A 20,136-nucleotide genomic window follows, 5' to 3' on the forward strand; every position below is an offset into this window, starting at 1 on the left:
AAATAACATTAAACAAAAATTATCATTAAGTGAAAAGAAGAAATGGAATTTCAATTCAATTAATCTGGTTCAATTAATGTTTTTTATTTAAGATATGACTGACTAGGAAAGAGCTGCCTTAAATTACAAACTTATTTCAAATACAGATGCTCCTCGACTTACAATGGCATTACATCCCAAAAAGCAGATCATAAGTTGAAAATATCATTAAGTCAAAAATGCATTTAATACACCCAACTACTGAACATCACAGCTTAGCCTAGCCTACCTTAAACATGCTCAGAACCTTACATTAGCCAACAGTTGGGCAAATTATCTAACACAAAGCCTATTTTATAATAAAGTGTTGAATATCTCATGTAACTTACTGAAATCTGTAGTGAACATGAAAAATGGGATGGCTATATGGGTACCGGAAGTACAGTTTCTAATGAATGAATATCACTTTCACACCATATAAACTCACAAAATCCTAAGTCTAACCATTGTTAAGTCAGGAATGATCTGTACATAAAAAGCATCATGACATTTATCACACGTAGGAAATTTGGGACTTCTTCCCAGAAGTATTTTTGCTATTTTATAGATATGGCTATGTTATACTGGAGGAGGAATAAAAAAGATTTAAAAGGTTCACTGCAGCCTAATTATAATCACAGTTCATAATAATGTCTTCAACCCACAATCTCAGATCACTGTATTGCCAAGTACTCTAAAATGAGATCTTTTTAGTACTTTCAATAACTAGATTTCCTCCTCACCATAAAATTAAAGATAAACCTGTCTTAGAAAGAAATATGACCTCCCTAAAAGACAAGTCACCATATTGATTTTTCCACTACAGTACACAGCCTTTAAACAACCAAAATAGCAGAAGAGCGTTCAAAGACATTAGGAGGACTACTGACTGGGTGACACAGTACCTGTGAAGAAGTTGACAAAGGGACACAAATGCCAGCAGAGGACTCGGAACGAGGAGGTTTCCCAGTCTGAATCACCTCCTGATCACTCCCTTTAGGTAGGGCCTGTGGCATGTTTGGTGGGTCCAGTGACCCAAACATGCTTTTCCATTCTTCATTTACATTTGAGTCTTGTTTTACATGTTTTCTGGCTATGAAAATATATTCAGAATAGTTAGTCTGAAGGTAGCCTTTAAAACCATTATGTGCTTTTATTGCCTTTGGAGGGGACAGTAGAGGAGGCAGGGATAGCAATACACTTCATATTCTATTTGTTCCTTAAGATTTCTAATTTATTCATATTCATGTATCAATTCATTAACTCTCACTTCATTTCTAGGGCAGATGGAACATATGTGCTTCCAATGATGTTAATAATAAGACCTAATTACTTCCTAGTTTCCCAAAGCCAGCTCAATTTCAAGTAACCACTATATCTAGTGAATAGTAAGAAAATAGCATGTTTTAATTTGCATTTATTAAACTATTTACCTTTTCATATATATGCATTCTATTCTATCAGTTGTCTGTTCATATCCTTCAATCTTTCTTTTTTTGGCTTGCTTTCTTATTAATTTGTATGTTTTATATATTATGGATATAAACCATTAAAACTTAAGTTACAAATACTTTTTCTCAAATTTGGCAATTAGAAGTTTATTTTAAATGTAATTCATTAGCTGCCTTCAAAATCTAATGCTAGAATAGAGGAAATTTTAAAGGCATGTAACTGGCAGTGAATATATGTGCAAAAAGGGTATGCACAGGATCTTAAAAAACTTCATATAATCAATGTCAATGTCACAAGAGCTCACAGTTTCAGATCTCAAGACTACAAATGGTTAAGTCTTGTCTGGTCTCTACTCTTGTATTTCATTGTTAATAGCAAGACCTTTCTTTTTAATTCACTGGGCATTACCTACTACTAATGAACTAGAAAACTTGATACCATTTTACACAAACTATTGTTCTTGGGTTGCTGGTTAAAGGGTTAAAAAACAGAATTTCATCTTCAATCATACACCTCCATGGTGACAACGTGATTTTACTGTAAAAGTAGAGCTTTGGAATCAGACCTTGGTTTGTCACATACAGAGCTGTGATTCTGGCAAGTTACTTCCTTAACTGTTAGTTCGCTTCCCTATTTTTCTTCCCCAAAATCTCCCTGCTAAGTAATGGAGTCACTGTATTTGTAAGTTCTTTATCTGTGAAATGGGGCTTTTTATTTTATTATTAATTAGCTAAAAAACAGTCTTATGAAATAACTAACAACAACAAGCTACACACACACAAACAAGCATACTAACCCCGTTTGTCATCTGGTTCTTGTTTGGTTTTAACAAGATCAACTTGTCTCCCAGTTATGCCTAAAGCTGCCAAGTCAATTACACCTTTCTGACTACTATCATGAAGATGGCTCTGGTCCACTATATTGGCCTTTGCTTTATTAGATTTCATCATGAAGTCTTTCAGTGCCAGAAGTTTGTCTTCCTCTTCCTCTGTCATTCCCTAAAACCAAATAAAACCATATGTTCTAGTTTATTTTCACAAATAATAAAAACAAGCCTCAGAATGACTAACAACTGAAGGGACAAATCACCCAATTTAAAACTGAAAAGAGACAGAAGGGTGAAACAACCAAGTCCAAGTGAAAAATAAAGTTAACAATACAGAATGACATGTCACGACTAAGATCTCCCAGAACACTCTATTAGGGCACTTTGTAATTTGTATCATGATTTATATCTTAACTTTCTTCCTAAAGGACAGTATTCACACATAACTCATCTTTGGAATTTCCAAAGAACACAATGTGTGATATCTAGTAGTATTTAAAATACAACTGTTGAATAAATATTTATTATGTGAACAAAACTCTGAATGTACAATATTAAGCAAAAGAAAGTGTACCTACTTCAACTTTGCTCCTGGTTGTGTTGAGAAATTTATATTGAATGAGTATGTAAAGGCATTCTACGATATATAAAATATACCATGCAACTAAGGGATTGATTGGAATGCTGCCTCAACTGCAAATGTGAGCAACAAACCCAGTAGCAATCTAGGATAATGGCTGAAGTCAGACTGCCTAGGTTCAAATTCCAGCCCTAATTACTACTTACTGTATCTGTGCACCTCTATTTAGCTATAAAGATAATTACTGGCACCCATCTTATCAGATTATAGTGAAATTTACATGTTAATCCACCTAAAATAGTGCACTTGAAACGGACAAATACTAAGTAATCAATCTAAATAATTAATTCCTTGGCAACTTAAATATTCTGGTAAATGTGGCAGCTCTGAGTGTCTTTCTTCCCAACCATCCACAGAATCCTCTAGTACATTTTCATCATGTAAAGGAATAAAAAACATTCATTTAATAAAATATCAGTTCTCCTGAGGCCTCAATCTAGAATCCCACTAGAGTTTAGAGTCATATTCACAATTCTCAGGCAGACTATGATAAAACCAACCCTAGGAGGGCACAAAGCTAAAAAACATGAAATAAAATTGCATTAAAGTACAATAATAATAGACATATTCTTGACTAAATCCCAGTGTTAACTTGCAATACTTGGTTTATTTTCATGTCTCCTCCTAAAATTCGCTTTAAATAGACAATAGCTACCTTATAGCTAAAGTAAGAGCTCTCTTTTTGTTAGTCTATGTTTTAGTCCACAAAAGGGAGGGCCACAGTAAGGGCTATAAATAGTAATGAAATACTGATACATGCTACAACATAGGGGGACCTTAAAAACATTAAGATCAGTGAAAGAAGCCAGACACAGAAGGCCACATATTGCATGATTCCATCAATATGAAATGTCCAGATTAAGCAAATCCATAGAGACAGAAAGCAGATTAGTGATTGCCAGGGGCTAAGGGAAAGAAAATAACTGCTAATGGATACAGGGTTTCTTTTCAGGGTGACGAAAATGTTCTGGAATTTAACAGTGGTGATGTTTGCACAACTCTGCAAATGTATTAAAAACCAGCAAGTTGTACACTTTAAGAGTGAATTTTATGGTAGTGAATTGTATCTCAATAAAAAACAAAAAATGTTAGCACTGCACCATGAAAAAACAAATTGACAAGAACATTACAAGAAAGGAAAACTATAGGATAAGGTTGTTCATAAACGCAAATGAAAAAATATCCACTAAAGTGAGCAAACCAAATCCAGTATATATAAAAACATTTTATATATTTATATTGTATTTATTTTCTAAAACTACATTTATATATAGATACAATATGACAAAGCTGTGTTTATTTCAAATATCCAGGGAATAAAGCAAGTTTAAAATATGAAAAATCAATCAACATATTTCAACACATTAACAGAACAGAAAAACCATATAATAATCTCGATAAAAGACATTTGATAAAATTTAACATTCTTCCAATAATCATCTTAGCTCCAGAAAGAGGATTTCCTTAATCTGTTCAAAAGATTGTACAAAAAAAATTAATAGCAAAAATCACATTGAATGGTATAATGTCGAGAGTTTTCCCTCTGATATGAGAAACAAGGATGCCCACTCACACCAACTCCCTTTAATACTATACTAAATATCCTAGTCATTTAAATAAGGCAAGGAAAACAAAGGTATTCAGATTGGAAAAAAATGAATAAAATAGTCACTGTTCACACATGATACAACTGTGAATGTACAAGTTCAAAAGAAAATGTTTAGCAAATTATTATAATTAATAAATTTTATGAGGTTGCCAGATAAAAGGAAATATAAAAATTGTTCCATATACCAGCTACAAACAAAATAATGTTTTAATATGCCAATTGTAATAGCACTCAAAATAATCAAAAGTGACAAGCTGACTTCTATAGGTTCAATGCAATCTCAATCAATACATCAGTAAATTTTTATTGCATAAAGTGACAAGCTGACTTGAAAAAAATCACTTGGAAAATGGAAAATGTGTAAGAATCAAGGATAGCCAAGAAACTCTTGAAAAAGAAAAAAAAATGTTAAGAACCAAGGATAGCCAAGAATATCTTGAAAAGGAAAGAAAAAAAAAAAAACAAGCTGGGAGATGTTTTTTTCTACCAAAGATCAAGCCTAAGTTATGGTAACTAAGAAAGTGCAGTACTAGTGTTAAGTCCATAAACATACCCACAAACTTCAGCTTCTGACCATGATGAAATAACAGGGACCAGACTAGTTTTACCCTTCCACTTTAAACAACTTCAAACTGTACAAAACACACACACACACACGCACGCACACACACACAGACACACACTTTTCAGGCATGGGAAAACAGGCAGACAGGGCTACAATGCCTAAAATATTTAAAACTGAGTCCTATGACTGTCCCAGCAATACTGTCTAGAGAGAGTTGCCAGGCTATGGCAGAAGGAACATAGAGTAAAACAGAGCTGATTTCAAGAGACACATCAGAGTTCAAGAAAGTTACAAAGGCTAACTCTGTGGAGCAGAGAAATGAAGGAGGATCTGCACAGAATGAGAGCTTCAGAGGGCTACAGAAGGGTCTCCTCAAGTCTTTGGCTGAATATGAAACTATGTATGCATAAGGAAACCACCTGAGGCCATAGAAAGAACAACACAAGGTTGGGAACAGTGCAAGACCTCTTAATATACACAAAGCATCATGTTCTGAGTTCTTAGTAGTGGGACTAAAGTGACCAATTAAGGGTTGGTCTGGACCTATCCTAAACCTATCTTAACAAAGCTTAAAAGCAAAGCTTAAAAGGATGAAACTGATTCCAAGTAACTGCACAGCAGAACAAGTCCAACACTGCAAAGCAATTCAACACCCAACATAAAATTCACAATCCACAGAGAAAGAAACTCCCTGGCCGGAGGGCAGGGATTAGATAAAATCTTAACATTGCATTATATATCTTCTTATAGCTTTTGAATTTTAAACCTGTATTTATACTAATCTGTCAAAAAGTGCAAAAATAAAAAATCATTAAAAATGTAACTCATTTTTTAAAGGAGTGAAATCATTTTGTATTATTTATTAGCACCTGATTAAATGGATACAAATAAAACAGGGAGCTATTGTAGATGGATCTAATGAAAACAGCCCTTCCATGAGTCATCTCCTGATTTAAGTTCTACTGAAAATCTGGAGTACAGATTCCAACTCCCATATGGGTAACGTTCCAAAAGTGTATGTTAAGTCTATTAACTGGAACTACTAACATATTTTCCCATAGAAACAATGCTACGCTGGTCTAGAAAGGCCTACTTTACCCATGATGTGTCTCAAGTACAGTCCCGTATAGAAGAGCACTGAAGAACTCTAAGCTAAAAAAAAAAAATTATGTAGAAGTGTTCATATTGCCTGCTTGCAGAAGCTAAAAATATGGTCCTTCGCTCTGTAGCCCTGACATTAGAAACAAGGACTCGCCGGGCGAGGTGGCTCACGCTTGTAATCTCAGCACTTTGGGAGGCCAAGGCGGGCGGATCACCTGAGGTTGGGAGTTCATGACCAGCCTGACCAACATGGAGAAACCCCGTCTCTACTAAAAATACAAAAGTAGCCAGGCCTGGTGGTGCATGCCGGTAATACCAGCTACTCAGGGGGCTGAGACAGAAGAATCGCTTGAAACCGGGAGGCGGAGGTTGTGGTGAGCCGAGATCACACCATTGCATTCTAGCCTGGGCAACAACAAACTCCATCTCAATTAAAAAAAGAAAAAAAAAAAGAAACAAGGACTCAATTCCTATCTCCAAAGCCTCCCCTGGATCCAAGTCTCTACTAGTAATCCTAAGAAACTCAGGTAGCACAGGGACCAAAAAGAAGTGAAGGTAGAGAAAAGGCTTGTAAGGGGCTGGAGCAGATAAACTGCACATGGGCTTCTCCCTAAGTCTGTATAAAACCCAAGCCAGCTTCTGGGTCTTAGCTCTCTGTCCTCTGTTTATTTTACTTTAGAGGCCACACAGCACAGTGTAGGAGTGTAGGCTTTGGAATCAGATAGGTTTAGATTCAAATGCCAACTCTGAAACTTACTGCACTATATGAACATAAGCAAGTTAACTACCTTCCTTGTGTCTCCATTCCCTTATCTATAAAATAGGAATAACACCTGTTGCTCAAATTTGTTTTAAGGATAGTCAAAAATATGGAAATCACAAACTGCTCTGGTAAAGTCATTGCTGGCTTTCAAAAAACCGGAAGCTGGTGTTGTTCTGCTGTTATTTCTGGTAAGAACCTCAGAGTTTCTGGCCTGCTCTCCCTTCTACTAGCAGTGCTTATCTCTTGAACAGAGGATTGTCCCCTAACCTTTAGGAGTCTCCTAAAGCCACTGGCACCAGAAATAACATAAAATGGGGGATTATTTGTTCCTCTTTTTCCACTCAGACAAATGAGGGGATCACTGACAGACCAATGAATATACGAAGCACTAACATTTCAGAGGAATACGGGTCAGGGAGTTTTAGTGATTTTTATCATGGCACCCAGTAACGGGGGCTGGCATTGAAGGAGCAGTAGTGGTAGAAGGGATTACAAGAACCGTAGGAAGCAGGAAGTAGAAAGGCTATGGAAACTGTTCCTTCCCACTCCTTCCTTTTACCCATGGCAGTGTCAAAACCTATACCTTAGCAAGGTAAAAAGAAGAGATGAGGGGCTAGGGTGGCCCCATGAGGTAACTAATGACTGATAAGGAAAAGAAAATGTCAAGATTAAGGTTTGTTTTGTTTTTTCTTGAGATAGAGTCTTGCTCTGTCACCCAGGTTGGAGTGCAATGGCGCGATCTCAGCTCAATGCGACCTCTGCCTCCCAGGTTCAAGCGATTTCCCTGCCTCAGCCTCCCAAGTAACTGGGACCACAGGTGCCCACCACCATGCCCAGCCAATTTTTTGGATTTTTAGTAGAGACAGCGTTTCACCATGTCAGCTAGGCTGGTCTCAAACTCCTGACCTTGTGATCTGCCCGCCTCAGCCTCCCAAAGTGCTGAGATTACAGGCATGAGCCACCGCGCCGGGCCTGGGATGAAGGTTTTTAAATTAATATACAGGATAGGTAGGGGAGACAGAAATAGTCACAACGGCCAAGGCTGAAGAAACACTTAGATTGAGATGATTTTTACTGCACATTGAAATCTCTTTGATAAGGATTACTTACTCAGGAGAAACAACAGAAAAATGTGATTCAGAATCCAATTTTCCACAAATTGCTTTCTAAAATACAAAACATATCTAACGTACAAGCCAAGGTTAAAAGAAAACCCAAAGAAAAAGCTCTCCAGGAATTCAAGTCACATCAAATTAAATTTTTAAAATTTGCATTATGGCTCATAGAGCATATATTCAGCGACTGTATTCTTTATTTTTAACCATTTTTATTCCTATCTTGGCTTCCCTAAGTTCCACATACCCCTCATAAAACAAGATGTACATTTAGATTTAACATTTCTTTTTTTCTTGGCTTCCCAAGGTGGGATTACAGGCATGAGCCAACATGCCTGGCCTAGACTTCATGTATTTATTTTTTAATTAGTTTTTTCTTTAAAAAGCAAAACAGGATACATGTGCAGAATGTGCAGGTTTGTTACATGGATATACGTGTGCTATGGTGGTTTGCTTCACCTACTGACCCATCCTCTAAGTTCCCTCCCCTCACCCCCCACCCCTCAACAGGCACTGGTTTGTGTCGTTTCCCCCTATGTTCATGTGTTCTCACTGTTCGGCTCCCACTTATGAATGAGAACATGCAGTGTTTGGTTTTCTGTTCCTGTGTTTGCTGAGGATGATGGCTTCCAGTTTCATCCATGTCCCTGCAAAGGACATGCTCTCATTCCTTTTTATGGCTGCATAGTGTTCCATGGTGTATATGTACCACATTTTCTCATCCAGTCTATCATTGATGGGCATTTGGGTTGGTTCCATGTCTTTGCTATTGTAAATAGTGCTACAATAAACATATATGTGCATGTGTCTTTATAGTAGAATGATTTATATTCCTTTGGGTATATGTCCAGTAACGGGATTGCTGGGTCAAATGGTATTTCTGGTTCTAGACCCTTGAGGAATCACCATACTGTCTTCCACAACAGTTGAACTAATTTACACTCCCACTGACAGTGTAAAAGTATTCCTATTTCTCCACAGCCTCCCCAGGATCTATTTTTTCCCGACTTTTTTTTTTTTTTTTTTTTTGGAGACAGAGTCTCACTGTCACCCAGGCTGGAGTGCAGCGGTGCGATCTTTGCTCACTGCAACCTCTGCCTCCCAGGTTCAAGCGATTCTCCTGCCTCAGCCTCCCGAGTAGCTGGGATTACAGGCACACAACACTATGTCCGGCTAATTTTTGTATTTTTAGTAGAGATGGGGTTTCACCATGTTGGCCAGTCTGGTCTGGAATTCCTGACCTCGGGTGACCCACCCACCTCGGCCTCCCAAAGTGCTGGGTTTATAGGCCTGAACCACGGCACCCGGCCTGTTTCCTGACTTTTTAATAACTGCCATTCTGACTGGCATGAGATGGTGTCTCATTGTGGTTTTGATTTGCATTTCTCTGATCATGAGTGATGTTAAGCTTTTTTTCATATGTTTGTTGGCTATGGAAATGTCTTTTTTTGAAAAGTGTCTATTCATATCCTTTGCCCACTTTTTGATGGGATTTTTTTTTCTTGTAAATATGTTTAAGTTCCTTGTAAATTCTGGATATTAGATCTTTGTCAGATGGGTAGATTTCAAAAATTTTCTCCCATTCTGTAGGCTGCCTGTTCACTCTGATGATGGTTTCTTTTGCTGTGCAGACCTCTTTAATTAGATCCATTTGTCAATTCTGGCCTTTGTTGCAATTGCTTTTGGCCTTTTTGTCATGAATACAATTCATATTTCTAAAGAGGCATTACCAATGCCAAGTGTAGTAAGATTTTGTTAATTGATTCAAATTCATAGGCTTTTAAGATATACCAGTAAACTGCTGGTCTATTAAACCTAAGATGCATTCTAAATACAAGTTATTTCAGCTGTTTACAAGTATTAATTACAAATTTGGATCGAAATGAACCAGGATTTTTCTATATTGCATCTGTGTTTTGCAATGTTTCTTCCAGCTAAATTTCATTACATTTTTGGTAAAACATAGAACTGAATCAAGACTACTAATTAAATCTAAGGTTGTTTCTACTGTCTTTCCCTCATTTATTTAGCCAGTAATTACAAAAGAAACTTAAGAGGTCTCCCATGATTCCTTATTTAGCTTAACCTGATACCTTATCATCATCTTATTATTATCTTTGTTTAGGAATCAAAAGCAAATGCCTAAGATGTTTGCCAGATTTACTTACTCATTTTTATGATGTAATCTAATCAATCAAAAACATTTTAAAAAACTAAATGGACACTTCAATATTTTTATGAAATTCGCATTTAAATGTAAGACTTTGGAAGGGTGATACAACCTGTGAGAGCAACTTCTTCAGAAGCTGTGCTATGGCAGGATCCTCTGGCGGAGGGCAGTCGGGAAGAGAACCATTTCGTTTCTTCTGACGCATGTGAAGATGTCTGAACAAGCTAGTAATATCTTTAGACCTCAAAGCATAATCAAATATAGAACGACTTACTGGTTCCTTTAAAACACTGAGCAGAACAAGTTTTCTTTCAATCTATATTGGAAAAATAAAAAGGATCAGCCAAAAATATAACATGTACAGTTATTTTCAAATTCAATAAATACAACTTGAGAAAAGTTAACATATTCATTTTCTAAGAAAATAAGATATCAACATCTGTAAGTGTGTAGAAGAAAAAAGAATACTAGTAAAATTTAAAGAGCTAAGGTATCTCTTACTTTTCATTGTAGCGCTAGACCACACGTGTGTCTGTCATTGGAAGACTAATCATCCAACCCAGGAAATTTTAGAAAACAAAAAGAGCCTTTTCTAGATCCCAATATGTCAGACAACGTCCTAGATCTAAAAAGTATGTGCAGTTCACAGGTCTGACAACCAGCAGGTACTGATCCAGAAAAGATGCTCAACAGCCACAGGTCTTCCTTCAGTTATCACATTTTCGTGGTAGATTCAACCACTTCTAAAAAACATTGCTATCTCCATAGTGTTTATAAAATCTTTCCTTTAATTATCCAAAAGGAATACATTCCTTGTCAATGCAAATAAAATGGATGAGTACTGCTAAAAGTAACCAAGAAGATTATCTTCTTTTTTTTCTTTTTTTTTTTCTGTGACTCTAGCAAAAGAACCAAGAGGACTTCCTTTAGATATATTTAACTCCTTGGTGAAGTCAGCCAGTGGAAACCAGCATAAAAAGATATCTTTTGTCTAATCCAAATTGTAGAAAAATAAGATTCATGAAGCAAATGAATAATTAGCCTCTCAACTTCTGATCCTGGCCTTTCAAAATACGAAACAATGACAAAAGAAAAAGTTCAATGAGCAAACTTTTAAATAGAGTAACTATTCAAAAGGAGTAGATATCTCTAGATTTAATTTCCAAGGAAGCATAAACTTTTCTAAAAAGGCATTTTTTTCTGATAGTGCTATCCATCTTTCATGTATATATAAGTTGCTCTTGGGGTAAAAATAAAAAAAAAATCCTACAAACTCTATGAAATAGAATGATAACCTCTAGAAATGAATGAATCTATGAAGAAAAGAAGGTATAACCAAAGCTTCCTAGTTTCCAGAGTTTATCCAAGGCCATTTTCTCCAAAGGGAAGGCACATTGAAATACAAAAGTGGGAGAAAGCCAGAGAGGTGTGTGAATTCCAAATGGAGTTCTGGTAAAAATAGGAACTTTCAGATGTTTTAACAGCTAGAATCGTCCTTCGCCATTTCAATCCATTTAATGCCTATCTTGATAATTTGCTGTCTAGCAAGATGAAGGGTATAAACACTGAAAATCTAGGTGAATAATATTTGCCCTGTACAAACCAAAGACCTAAAGTTTATCACCAAGTACTGCTAAAGGTGGAGCAGAGGTTGTGGGGTTGTTAGAATAAAAAAGAAAAGACATCAAAACAACCAGTTAGCGGTGAAAAACTTAAATTTGAAAAAGACTTTTTCTAATTTATTATAACTGGATGCAATCAGTTATACTTTTTAAAATAAAAAGCAGAGGGCCATCAATATACATTTTTGCTAGACTATATTTCACTTTTAACAGTTGCTTTATAATATTACACAAAAGAAAATATATGAACTACTGTACGCTACATTAGATATAACATGATGTAAAACATAATAATCTTTTGCACTTTTCTGACCTTCAAAGGTGCTTGGTTCATTAACATTAATTAGCTTGAAAGGAATATAAACATGCTATAGCCCAATTTAAATACTTAAAAAATGTTAAGAAAAATAGGACTCTCTAAACATTTTTTTTAAAGAGGCACAGTTTGGAGGAAAGACTGACTCCAACTTGGAACATGTATACCTGTATTATTGGTTGGGTAATATATGGGTCAAGATAAGGCATCAGTTTACAGTAGACATCAGCTGTACTTATTTGACGAGCTACCACTGTGATAAATCCCACGGCACCATAACGTATCCATAAATTGGGATGACACAGGAAGGGGGCTAAAGAGGAAAAGAAAAGGTAGGGATCAAATAAGTTATTTCAAACTATCGGGATAAACAAATTTTTACCTTATAACGTAACTGACAAAAGGATTTTGCCACAGTGTTACTATCAGGAGCCTTCACATACTCAATTACCCTGAAGCATAAACTCAATCAAGTGGACACACTGTTATTATAATATTCTCTTATTATAAATATCACAGCAGTACCACAAAAGAATAAAAACAGTTACCTCATAGCTGAGGACTTAAAATTTATATTTTTTTAGTCAGAAGTAAAATTGTGTGGGCACCTACTCATTTATAACACTGGATTAAAAACTGTTAGAGACATAACAAGTCCCAACAGCATATAGCTAACTATTATTCCCCAACTTGTACCCCCACAGAAGTTCAAGGACATATCCCCTCTACCACCCAAGGGGCAGAGAAATTGGGGAGAATTTACTTCTCCAAGCTACAGCATAAAGATTAAGGGAACAATCTAGCCTATCTGATATTCTTTTTAATGCAGGAGTTTGATCAAATCTAATATATAACTCACAGTTACTTTCACAAGGCAATGATGAATGGAAACAAAAAGGCTGAAAACATGATACCTATTCTTAAAAAGTTTAAAATATAACATTAAACCAGAAAATTAAATGAATGTCTTTTCATACCTTTTAACGATTTTATGTATTAAACATAAAATCAATGATTTCAACTAATCGACATTAGACTAACCTGATTTAGAATAAAATCCAAACTTTTAAAGGCAAGAAAAATTGTATTAGCTCTGAGCATGCAAACACACCAGCATTCAGAGGATATTTCTTTATCTTCTAATATTTATTTAGTGTATATAAGAAATACACATTAATAGAGAAATAGGAATACAATCATAGGCTAATAATACTTATATTAACAGGGGAAGGAGAAAAGATGCGTTCAAAATATCTATCTCCCAAGGTCTCGCATTTCTAATTCTTCTAATTATAAATGAAGAAGATTTTGTTTATTTCATAAATACCCTGCAGCCTCTGATCCATCCAACAAGGGACACTGGGTATTTTCCCTGTGATAAGAGGGAAAATGAGGACTGGAAAAACATTGGTAAACCTCCAGAAAGTAGCTAAACCCATAACGGTTTGACAGGAGTTGGGAACTGTATTATACTGAATTATTTACCCCAATTCTTAACTTCCCTGTATCACACAACCACACTCATTCACTTTGTATACACCTGTAGTATACAAAGGATACTTCTCTGCCCCCTTTCTTTTGGTTTATATCACTTGCTTTGGCCAATGAATATTACGACAAACAGGAATCTGAAATGTGCTATATAGCTGGGTTTGCCCTCTCGTGCTTCTGCCATCACCATGAGAACATGATGTGGGTAGCTACTGCCCCTACAATGAGGGCCCCAGAATGAGACAGATGAATCACAGTCATCACAGACAACCTGGAGATGCAGAACCTGAAGCAGGGCCACCTATACAACCCACAGGTGCATGACGAAAAATTTACTGAAGGATTTACTGAGATTCTGTGGTTGACTGTTCTACAGCATTATTATATCATTAAGTAGCTGCCTGATACAAAGCACCTCAAATACTCAAAACAAGAAGAAGCCTGAATCTAAAGAACTGCCTATGAAATAGCATATTCAATCTTTTCTTCCTTTTTTTTTTGAGACGGAGTTTCGCTCTTATTGCCCAGGCTGGAGTGCAATGGCACGATCTCGACTCATCGCAACCTCCGCCTCCTGGATTCAAGCAACTCTCCCACCCCAGCCTCCCGAGTAGCTAGGATTACAGACATGCGCTGCCAAGCCTGGCTAATTTTGTATTTTTAGTAGAGACGGAGTTTCTCCATGTTGATCAGGCTGGTCTTGAGCTCCTGACCTCAGGTGATCCGCCTGCCTTGGCCTCCCAATCAATCTTTTCTTTGTCTAACACATTCAACTTATCAGAAGACAAATGTGGGGGAAAATATTAATAATAGCTAAGTGGGAAAAGTATAGTTTTTAAAAGGAGTAACAAAGAAATCATAATCACCATCAAAACCACCACCACCATTCTCTTTAAGAGTCACTAGGCAGTGAAAACAATATGGCTGAATAGGACATTTCAGTATTCATCCTCTTGTAGAAAAAAATCTGTTTTAACAACTATCAATGCATGAAAACACCATTACAAAGGAATCCAGGTGAGAGATTACAGCACCTGGGTATAGCAAAATTGAGAAAAGCCCCAATGAAGAGGGCAGGAAGGGTAGTTTCACATAACCCATGTCAACATTCCCCAAAGTCCAGGCAGCCAGCACAGAGCAACAAGAGTGAAACTCCGTCTCTAAATAAATAAATACTAGCCAGGCGTGGTGGCACATGCTTGTGGTCCCAGCTACTCGAGAGGATGAGGCCAGAAGATAGCTTGAGCCAGGGAGATCCAGGCTGCAGTAAGCTGTGATCATGCCACTGCACTCCAGCCTGGGTGACAGAGCAAAACCCTGTGTCTTAAAAAAAAAAAATTAGGCCGGGCGCGGTGGCTCACGCCTGTAATCCCAGCACTTTGGGAGGCTGAGGCGGGCGGATCACGAGGTCAGGAGATCGAGACCATCCTGGCTAACACGGTGAAACCCCGTCTCTACTAAAAATACAAAAAAAATTAGCCGGGCATGGTAGCGGGCGCCTGTAGTCCCAGCTACTTGGGAGGCTGAGGCAGGAGAATGGCGTGAACCTGGGAGGCGGAGCTTGCAGTGAGCCAAGACGGCGCCACTGCAGTCCAGCCTGGGTGAAAGAGCGAGACTCCGTCTCAAAAAAAAAAAAAAAAAATTAAAAATGGAACTACCTGTGATCTTGCAATCCCTCTTTGGGGTATACATCCAAAGGAAATGAAATTAGTATGTTGAAGGGATATCTGCAATCCCATGTTCACTGCAGCATTATTCACAAGAGTCGACATAGGAAATCAATTTAAGTGTCCACTGAATGAATAAAAAAAATGGTGTATATAACAACTAAAATACTACTCAGCACTAAAAAATAAAAATATCCTGTTATTTGCAACAACACAGATGAACCTGGAGAACATTATGCTATGTAAAATAAGCCAGAAACAGAAAGACAGATACTGTTATGATCGAACTAATACATATTATCTAAAAAAGTTGAACTCTTAGAAGTAGAGAGTAGAATGGTGGTTACCAGGGGCTGGGGTAGAAGGGAGGGTGGAATGGGCAGGTGTTAGTCAAAGGATACAAAAATTCAGTTAGACAAGATGAATAAGTTCTTGTACAGTATGTGCAAGTACAGCATGGTGATTATAATTAATAATAATGTATACTGGAAAATCACTAGGGTGTAACTCTTAAATGTTCTTACCACTAAAGAAAAAGAACTATGGATATGTCAATTAACTTGATTGCCATAATTACTTCACAAAGTATATATATATATCAAAATATCATGTTGAACATAATATACTATCTTTATTTGTTGATTATACCTCAATAAAGCTGGGGAAAAAAAAATCACTACAACAGAATACACATAGTTTAAAAACAGAATGAGAGAGATGTATATAGTCTATCATTTGTTTTAAATAAGTAGGTGTTTCTAAGTTACTAAAATTGTTTTTTACTTTTAAACAGTTTTAAATGCCAAGAAATGACTGTTTACTTGATTTTTCTTGGTAACGTGTTTTTTTCTCCCCATAGTTTTCATATCAAATTCAGTTGTAGTTCTAAGGGAGTTATCCATTGAAGAAGTAGTACCACACTGGGTTTATTCTGTATATAAACATAATTTATTTTGACACTAAAGATATATGAGCACTCCATATATTCATCCTGGGATCAAAGACTAGAAATAGCAAGGTCCAGAAAAATCTCCACAAACTTTGAGTGCAGGGGTAAAAAACTATTTTCATGATGATTTTTGCTTTAAAATTGATGGGCATCTGTTTTGTAGATAAATAAAATGCTAATTACAAGCTATATTAAATTTCAAAAATAATTTCCAAAAATTATTTTGAAATAACTAATTAGGCCACAGAAGCAATGTATTATGTGAAATTATAATAGAATAAACATATTATTCAAGTCTACGAATTCTTAACTGGTAATCAATGCAGTGACAGACCCTTCACATCCAATTTTCAACTTGACTGCTAGTCAAGTGCCCAAAAATAATTTTCATCTTCAGACCAGTCAAGGCTTTACCCACATCATGGTTTTTTTAACAACAAAGTCTCGGCCAGGAGCGGTGGCTCGTGCCTGTAATCCCAGCACTTCGGGAGGCTGGAGCAGGCAGATCATGAGGTCAGGAGTTCAAGACCAGCCTGGCCAACATGGTAAAACCCCGTCTCTACTAAAAATACAAAAAAAAAAAAAAATTAGCCGGGCATGGTGGCAGGTGCCTGTAACCCCAGCTACTCAGGAGGCTGAGGCAGGAGAATGGCTTGAACACAGAGGTGGAGGTTGCAGTGAGCCAAGATCACACACTGTACTCCAGCCTGGGTGACAGAGTGAGAGACTGTCGCAAAAAAAAAAAAAAAAAAAAAAAAAAAAAAAAAAATTAAAAATAAAAAAAAGAAAGCCAAAACAAAAACCAAAGTCTTGCTTTTTGACAAGGGTAACACAGACTTACCAACAGATGAAAACAAAGCAGTACTTCCCAACCAGGCTGGAGGACCCAATGAGTCAGCTTGTCTGTCTCTCACATACATATAAGCATGCACACATACACATACACACATGCACACCCACACAATCAATAGTAGGAACCCCACACAATCAATAGCAGGAACAATAAAGTTGCAATTCTTTATATTACCTAGAAATTTTATAAAGTTCTTCCAATCTCATTCTAATTTTGAGAAACAGAAACTTACCAATATCACTGGCAAATTCGTAAACATGGGGTTTTTGTAGCAGTCCTAACTGGCACATACAAGTAAGGGCATAAAGAGCTTTCACAATGACAAATTCCTCAGCATCACTAAGACCTTGTTGCAGCAGAGGCTTGAGAATTGAGGAGCTTTGCCAGCCAACATAGGCAGCAACACCTGGAAATGAAAAGCAATATTATGTGATTATTCAATACCTAAAAGTACATATATCATTAAGTAAAGCAATAAAATTAAGCAAAAGCCAAACATATTAATCAATTACCTAGGAAAGAACATTGCACTTCCTACCCAGCATGATAAAGTTAAAAAGACCCACAGCAAGGCAAATCATCAGGAAATTCTCGGACACCACAGAAAAGCTAAGATCCTAAGAACTTACAGAAATGAAAATATAGGTCTCCTAAAAAGGAAGAAGAATCAGACTGTAATTATATAATCTTCAGCAACAATGGAGGTTAGAAGACAAGACATAGGCAAGCAAGGCATTAAAAGTTATGAAAAGAATTCTATTTTCAGTCAAACTGTCAATTAAATAAAAAAAAAGTCATTTCAAGACATGTAAGGACTATTAAAAGTTTGCCTCCCATGCAACCCTTTCTAGGAAAGTTTCAACCTAAGAATTCAAGGGCAAAAAAAAGCTAGCAAAGACCTAGAAATCAGTCAGCCCAGATTAGAATTAAAAGCTAATAAATTTCAAGAATGTCATCAAGAAGAAAATGGAATAGATTCTAAGCAACAAATAAAATTAATAAGAAAGAAGCTAGCTATTACGGATATGGTGACAATTTATTACTTTTCTTTCTAAAAGGAAAACAAAGAAATCTAAAATTCCTGAAATTGCTCAAGAAAATCACAGTCCAAATATGAAATTAAAATAAATAGTGTATTTAGTAACTAGAAGAGGGAGTAAAGTAGAATCCACTGGCCTTGCTATAAACATACTCAAATGGTGAGGGGGAGAGTCACTGAATTGGGATTGTGATGAAGCAAATATAATTACAGTATATTACTTGGCTCCACAGTCAATAAAATTTACACATTCATAATCATGTATTTTGTTTTGAAGCTTCATAATCAGTCTATACATAAAAGACTTCATTGTGTTATAGAACAGAATGTATTATTAACTATGACAAAAAAATTGTTGAGAATTCTCAATTCTCAACTAACCAAACAATAAAAAAGAGAGACACAGGTAAAGAGAAAGAAAAGGGGCACTAATCTTGTACTGCAAATCAGAGGTGGAGCACACAAAATAGATTTAATTACTTAAAGTTATTAAAACAACAAACCAAAAACTAAAGCACAGAAAATAGTAGTCAACATCTCAAAAACTGAAAAGAGAAGAAGGATCAAGGCATGTTATGAGTGAATTAAATCTTCATCTGGCACAGAAAAAAATTCAAGAGATAAAGTCCAAAGTTGGTTATTCTAAAAATAGTAATATGAAAATATTATTTAGAGATATGGTAATAATCACCTGAAAACACTAAAATAAAAGCAGAAAGCTGAGTAGTTGCCTCTGGAAATTTCAACTATTGTTTTTCATACATTATACATTTTGATTAAATTTTAAATAATTTCTAAAAGCCTATTTCCTTTATGATTAAAAAATTATGTTATAATTGTTTTCTTTAATAAAAGGAAAAATTCTATCTAAAATTCCAGTGAATTATATTTAGGAACTTTACAAACTGAAATGTACAATGAGCTAAAATAGCTAAAACTATTTTGAAAATGAATGACATCTGAAACTTACCCTATCAGATGATAAAGGTGATTAAAAATATATAATAATGTAAATTGAATATGGCTATGAATATGAGTACAAGAAGAGAAAAATCAATGGAACAGACTAGATAGCCAGAAAACTGACCTTAACAGACAGAAGCATGCAACAGATGATAAAACAGTAAGAAACAAACCAGTAAGAAAAAAAACAAAAAAAATGCTTAATAAATTATGCTGGAAAATCAGTTACATATCTGAGAAGAAAAAGAAAATTTAGTTTTCATCCCACATCACAGACCAAAAATAAAGATCAATTAAACAGTTAAGTGTAAAAACTAAAGCATGAAAAAGAAAAAAAGACAAGCACACAACAGATTATTAATCTAATTCTGGAATGGGAAGAGACTTTACATACAAAAGTAGAAAAAAAAAAATCACAAAGCAAAAAGATCGAGTAAACTGACTTCAGAAAAACTGTCTACAGAAAAGATTCAAAAATCAAGTTAAAGAACTAAGAAACGTGAGCTTAAAATTGATTTAAAAAATTAATGTTCTTAATATGTATATAAAGGCTCGAAAAGAACAAGAAAAGCATAAGTATCAGAAAAAAATAAGCCAAAATAATGAATTTTAAAATTCATAGAATTAGAAATATGAATGCATAATCAACATGAAAAAGTTTTTCAACTTGATAGTTAAGCTAAGAAATATATATCAAAACAAGTTATCATTTTACCCTTCCAACAGGCAAGGACTAAGTAAAGCCTATTTCACACTGGATGGGTGTGCAGCACTTAACGGAGATGGGGATGCAAAATGATATCATCTTTTTGAATAGCTTATAAATGTGTCATGAGTTTTAAAAATAAATTCACATTCTTTAACACAGTAATTAAAATTTTTTTACTTCTATCCTAAGAAAATAATCAGAAACAACTACTTACATACATACGTTGCATATTTATACCAAATATATAGATTATCTATATATGACAGAA

General features: G+C 35.7%; 1 protein-coding gene across 1 annotated transcript in view; it reads right to left on the bottom strand.

Annotated features, from left to right (window-relative positions):
- The window catches only part of PIK3R4 (phosphoinositide-3-kinase regulatory subunit 4), a 67,896-nt gene that overhangs the window by 27,091 nt on the left and 20,669 nt on the right, over window positions 1-20,136 (bottom strand). Inside the window, exons 7-11 of the mRNA NM_014602.3 lie at window positions 17,390-17,563; window positions 12,365-12,510; window positions 10,372-10,575; window positions 2,267-2,468; window positions 924-1,111 (exon numbers count right to left, since the gene is read on the bottom strand). Of these exons, the coding sequence (NP_055417.1) occupies window positions 924-1,111; window positions 2,267-2,468; window positions 10,372-10,575; window positions 12,365-12,510; window positions 17,390-17,563 (914 nt within the window). The remainder of the gene's footprint in view (window positions 1-923; window positions 1,112-2,266; window positions 2,469-10,371; window positions 10,576-12,364; window positions 12,511-17,389; window positions 17,564-20,136) is intronic.

Source organism: Homo sapiens, chromosome 3, assembly GCF_000001405.40.
Source record: "Homo sapiens chromosome 3, GRCh38.p14 Primary Assembly".
NCBI classification, from domain to species: domain Eukaryota; kingdom Metazoa; phylum Chordata; class Mammalia; order Primates; family Hominidae; genus Homo; species Homo sapiens.